The sequence below is a fragment of the Homo sapiens genome, chromosome 18, assembly GCF_000001405.40.
Source record: "Homo sapiens chromosome 18, GRCh38.p14 Primary Assembly".
Classification (NCBI taxonomy): Eukaryota; Metazoa; Chordata; class Mammalia; order Primates; family Hominidae; genus Homo; species Homo sapiens.
In genome coordinates, this window is record NC_000018.10 from 40339771 (window position 1) to 40346187 (window position 6417).

Below are 6417 nucleotides of genomic sequence, written 5' to 3' on the forward strand. Positions count from 1 at the left end.
CAAACCGTATCACTGGTGGTTGCCAGCAATCTTTAATGTGTCTTGGCTGTGGAAGCATCACTACAATCTCTTTCCTTGTTGGCCTTCTCTGCATGTCTCTTCCATGTCTTCAAATTTCTCTCTCCTTATAAGGACATCAGTTACTGGATTTAGAGCTCACACTAATCCAATATGATCTCACTTGAAGTTGAATACAGCTGCAAATACCTTATTTCCAAACAATGCCACATTCGGAGTTACCAAGTGTTGGGAGTTCAACATATCTTTTGGGGAACTCAATTCAACCCACAATAGCAGTACTCATTTATTGAGCACTAACTAGAAAGAAATGATTCTTGTGGTGAAATGATTTAGTAGTCTATTACAGGACTCCTCATAAACGCAGTGAAGCTAGAGTGAAAAATAGATAAATTCACTGTCATAGTAAACTTAAACACACTTCTTGATTAATTAATCAAGCAGCAAAAACAAGTGTATCATCTACATTTAAATATCATGCTGAGCAAGGTCAATATACTGAACATTTATGGAAAACATACTTTTCAAGCAATGTGGGATATTCGCAAAATTGGAGATTAACAAATGTCAAGCAAATAGTTTCATATAGAAGACATTCTTTTCCAGGATATTATTAGGTTAAAAATTAATCCCAAAAGATAACTTAAAAAACTGAATTATCTGAAAAATTTAAAACAGATTTCTAAGTAATTTATGTTTCACAGAAGATACCATAAGGAAAATTAGAAAAAAATTAGAATTGACCGTTAATAAAACACAACATTTCAAATACTTGCTAAATGCAACTAATATTTTGCTTAGAGAAACATTTATAGTCTTAAAATAATAATTAAAATAAATAAAATATAAAGTTTAATAAAGTAAACAGAAAAAAAGATGATATAGTAAATGCAACCAAAAAAACAGATAGAAGGAAAGAAATAACAAACACAAAAATAATGGAGCAGCAAAGTTAAAAGCTGGTTTTTTAAAAGGCTGAAAAGATGAACAAAATGTTGGCAAAATTGTTGAAGAAAAAAAGGCACAAATAATTTTAAGAATTAAAAAGGCAGATAACTACAGATATAGCAGATAGTAAAAGCATAAGAAAAATATGTATCTATTAGTGACACTACATTTGAAAACTTAGACAAAATGAACAAAATCCTAGACAATTATACCTTACCAACGCTGACTCAAGAAGAAATAAGAAACTTTAATAATTCTACATTTGTAGAATAAATTAATAATTTTAAACTTTCCCATTGGGCCCAGGTGGTTTTACAGGAAAATGTTATCAAATATTCAAATCATAGATAATTCCAATCTTATGCAACCTTTTTCAGATAAAACAAAATAGAGAAACATGCCCCAGTTCCTTCTATGAGGCTAGTATAATCTAATGCTAAAGACAATGTCATCTGCAACCAGGAACAATTTGACTTTCTTTTTTCCAATCTGAATACCTTTTATTTCTTTCTCTTGCTTAATTAGTCTGACTAGAACTTCTGAAAGTAGGTTGATAAGAGTGATAAAATTTGGTGTCCTTCACTTTTTCTAATTCTTGTAGGGAAAGCTACCAACATTTCCCAGGTCAGTATGATGTTGGCTGTGGGTTTGTAATATATGGCCTTTATTGTTTTGAGGTACATTCCTTCCAGACCTCATTTGTTGGGTGTTTTTATGATGAAGGGACAGAAGGGACATTGAATTTTATAAAATTAGTTTTTTATTTCTATTAAGATGATGACACATTTTGTTTCTTATTTTCTGTAGATGTGACGTATCATATTTATTAATTTTCCTGTATTGAACCATCCCAGCATCCCTGAAATAACTCCCACTTCATCATGGTATATAATATTTTTGATGTGCTGTTCGATTCAGTTTGCTAATATTTGGTTGAAAATTTTTGCGTCATTTTTCATCGGAGATCGTAGCCTGTATTTGTTGTTGCTTTTATAGTTGTGAATTTATTTGGTTTTCGTATCTGGGTAATGCTGGTCATGTAGAATGAGTTTGGAAGAATTCCTTCTCCTCCAACAAAAAAATAGTTTGAGAACTTCTTTAAAAATTTGGCAGAATTCAGCAGTGAAGTCATCAGTTCCTGAGTTTTTTATTGTTGAGAGACTTTTTATTAACAATTTAATCTTTTTACTCATTATTGGTCTGTTTAGGTTTTCTATTTTTTCCTGGCTCAGTCTTGGTATGTTGTGTATGTCCAGGAATTTATCCGTTTTCTCTAGGCTTTCCAATTTGTTGACATATAGTTCTTCATAATACACTCTAATGATCCTTTACATTTCTCTGGTATTAGATGGAATGTCTCCTTTTTTGTTTCTGGTTTTATTTATTTGGGATTTCTTTCTTTTTTTTTTAGTTTAGCTAGTGATTTGTCAATTTAGTTTATGTTTCAAATGACATGAACACCTACAGCTTTTGCTTCTGGACACTCTTATGATATCTACATCTTCGTTGAATTTCTCATTTAGATCATGAATTATTTTCCTGATTTCATTAAATTGTCTACCTCTTTCCTCTGGTATCTCCCTGAGTTTACTAAAGGTTATTATTTTCAATTCCTTTTCAGGCTATCCTTAAATTTTTATTTCTTTTTGGTCATTATGGGTAAAACATTGTGTTTTTTTGGTGGTGTCATGTTTCCTTGCCTTTTAATGGCTTTTGTATCCCTACATTGATTTCTGTGCATCTGGTAGAACAGTTTACTCTTCCAATTTTATAAAGTGTTTTTTTTTTTTTTTTTTTTTGGGCGGGGGAAGATTTTCACCTGCAGATGTGTCCTAGAGTGTCAAGTAGAATGCGTTGGCTTTGTTCTAGATGGTGCAGATGTGTAGTCTTCATGTAGTTTCTTCAGCTACAGACTGTGTCAGCAATGTCTGTAAGTACCTCAGTGGCTTGGAGTGCAGAGGTTTGCATAGCGGGTTCACCTACTCAAGATTTGCTCCTTTGTGGGTTCGGTACTGGGATGGTCTGTGCTCAGAAGACACATGAGGTTGCTATTTAGCTTGGCTGAGGAGATACTCCTTTAGGGGCAGGGCACTGGGGCAACAGATATTCTGCTGAACCCAGGCTCCAAGTGGCCAGGGTCCTGGTTCTAGAATGAGGAAGATGAACTTCCCACTAGAAAGCTTATTCCGAGGGACCAGCGAGTTGTAGCAGCTTGGACTGGGAATGGTGCCCCATCATTTGTAAACATGGTGTAATGGTAGCAAAGCCTCCAATTTAAGGAGCTACAGAGTTTACTGGCCCCTGGAGCTGAATACACTCTAGCAGTGGCTCTGGCTTCAAGATGGTACCTTGAAACAATAGATTGGGTAATGGCGGGCAGACGAGGGGCACAATGTGGGCCCCTTCTTTGAATCAAAACAGTCATGTGAACTGGCAGATTTCACACTCGGTTCATGTCGTGTGAGAGCTGCAGGATTCTCCAGCAGCAAAAACTGCAGGTGTGTGTGGCATTAGTGGGGGCTGCTGGGGGCCTGCCCTGCTGCTCTCTTTGTGCAGGAAAGTTGCTCTTGCTTCGAAGCTAATTTCTTCTGGGAGACAGGGTGACAGCAGCAGTGTGCCTCGCCTCTTTCTCTATTTGGCCGTCATGAGTCTCTGTGTTCCACAAGGCCTGCGCCAGTCTCTTGCTCTACTCCAGTGGTATCCCTTAGACACTAGTCAAATAAGAGCTGTTTATTCACTATTTTCGTCATTTTTTGTTGGGGCAAGATGAGCACCAGAAACTTTCAGTCAGCCATCTTGCTGATATCACTTTTTCCCTTTTCTTTTGAGAGAAAAAATGTTAAAGATTTTGATTTTTTGGCCAAAAGAATTTAACGAGTGATGGGGAAAAGTGGATACATGAACTGGTTAATTAGCTATGATTTTAATATACACTCTATTTTATAAATCAAAATTCCAACTTCCCAGTGGCCCAATGTCATGGAGTTCTTCATAACTATAAGAAAAAAAAAAACGCTTGTAAGAAAAAGTATCAGAGAACCAAAATGTAAAGAAATGATTGAACAGTAATTCTATTTTTAGAACTGTCCTAAGGCTTGTGGAAGTGTGGAAACTATACTGTAACTCATTTCTCCATGGGACAGTTAAATAATGCAAGCATGGAATACTCCAGGATGTCAAAGTGGATAGAGATCAGTGTGAGTACCATGCTCAGGGATGACTCCATGGTGAATTTTTAACATATTTTTTATCTGTCTACACTCCACAAAAAGGATACATGAAAAGAAGCCTTGTGATGATTAAATTACTCCAATTTGCCTTTATTTTCAGTTGTATAGTTCCTGAGGATAGTGTTTGAACTGAATGCATTTTGACAGCATAACCATACAATTCCCATGTTCAGTGTGAGATTACATATTGCTCTACAGATCTGTTACCTGCTTTGTTTGCCTTTTTCTATATCTGCTTATCTGCCTTTCACCATTCAGTAGATAATTATTATCTTACTATATTTCTATCTTAAGATGGAACAAGCTAAAACAAACCAAGGGACTATGAAGAGAACTCAGACAATTTCATTTCGTTAAACCACAATGGAATGCAATTTGTATTTCTTAAGATTATGAAATATGGTGCGCATTTATGAGCACTTGGATCTCAGTGTTAGTAGAAGGCAAGTAAAAGGATAGGGAAAGTATTATTTTATGGTAATCCTTGGAAATTTTCATAATAAAAAATGCCCTAAGCACTCAGATTGTCCGTAACAGAGCTGTAATAATATGAATCAAAGGCAGGTACTTCTTCTAAACTTGATTTTGAGAAATCTGAAATCCTTCTGTTTTGAGGTGGTGGGAAGGCTATGTACACTTTTACTGCAAGTAATGACTAATATCAGCAGGTGCTGTATGTGCCTGCTGTACTTGTGGCCAGAAAAGAGTAGAATAAAAAGCTCTTATTTATTAAGCATGTGTTATGTAGAGCCAGAAGTCTCTAGGAGATCCTAACTTGATTATTTTTCCCTTCTGGCTCTATGCAACACATGCTTAATCAGGTAAGGTCATAATTTGAGAGCAGTTAGATGGTTCTCTTTTCAAATGTATTTCTCCTACCAGTCTGCCAAAATTGCAAAATTTTGTTCATCATTAAACATCCCCTTTAGTTAAGACATTAGTGTTCCTCATAAAAATGCAAATATATTATTAAGCATTAATATCTTATTACTAATTAGTTGATCAATTTTACCCTGACAAAGAAAACAATCATGAGACAATGGGAAATAGGGGTCAGGCAAGAATATTCATGAGGTGAAAGGTCAGCAAAGGGCTGAACCATGGGGTGTTACTAGGAGAAAGTTTCAGGTAAGGCAGCTCAGAGGAGACATTCTAGTAAGGCAGATAATATCCTAGGGGAATGGTGACTTTTAGATCTGTCTTAAATCTCCATATCTGGGTGATCACATTTGCTAACTGAGCCAGTGACCTCACCTGCAATTTGTATAGGGAGTGAGGAAGATTCACATCGGTATGGCTTACATAGATTTGGATGCTGATAATTTAGATTTACTTTGGAGAAAAGATGTACGACAGAATTAATGACTTCTTTTGCACATATAAAATGTCTGAATTCTAACAACAATATTACCACAATTTGGGGTAAATTATTGTGTTTTTGAGAGAAACTGAGAAAACAAAGTAAAACAATAATAGTAATAATGATGATGATGTTTATGCAGCAGACAGTAAATAGAATGAAAACATCTAAAAATAAAGAAATGGACAGTGAAGTGTGAAAGACCAGAGAGAAAGGGCAGGTGAGTTGGCCACGAAATGTGTTCCTGGACTCTGTCCTTTTGGTTTTCTAAGTAAAGTCCTCAACAGAAAAAGTCTTTCTAAGCAGTAAATCCTAGTTCTTGTGATTTTGTTTTTGCAAGTGGAACGTAAGTTTTCATGTCATAAATCTTGGCCAATATTAATAATAGTTAAGTATTTTGAATCCTCATGAGGTGTCAGGCACTCTTCTAAGCATTTTATATGCCAGGTTTATTTCAGATTTGTTTTAAAAAGCTGGGACAGAGAATAAATACACACTCTTTGAGTAACACTATGTTCAAAAATGGAAGAGTAGCTTTAAATGCAGAGAGTTCAGTGTTTCAGCCTGACTTTCTATATATCATTAAAGAAGGACCCTGTCTCTCATCTTCTAAATAATAATAACTAATACTTAAATGTCATATCATGTTACAAATTCACTTCCCTTTAATACTTAAATATCATATCATGTTACAAATTCCCTTCCCTTATCAATTCTTTGAAGTTTACAACATTTACATGGGTATAACCTTTAACTTATTTACTTCTCAAAACAACCTAGGAATTAGTGATAAGAAAACTGAGACACAATGAGTTATGTAATTTGCCCAAAGTCAAACAGGAGTAAGTACTGGGGCCAGAT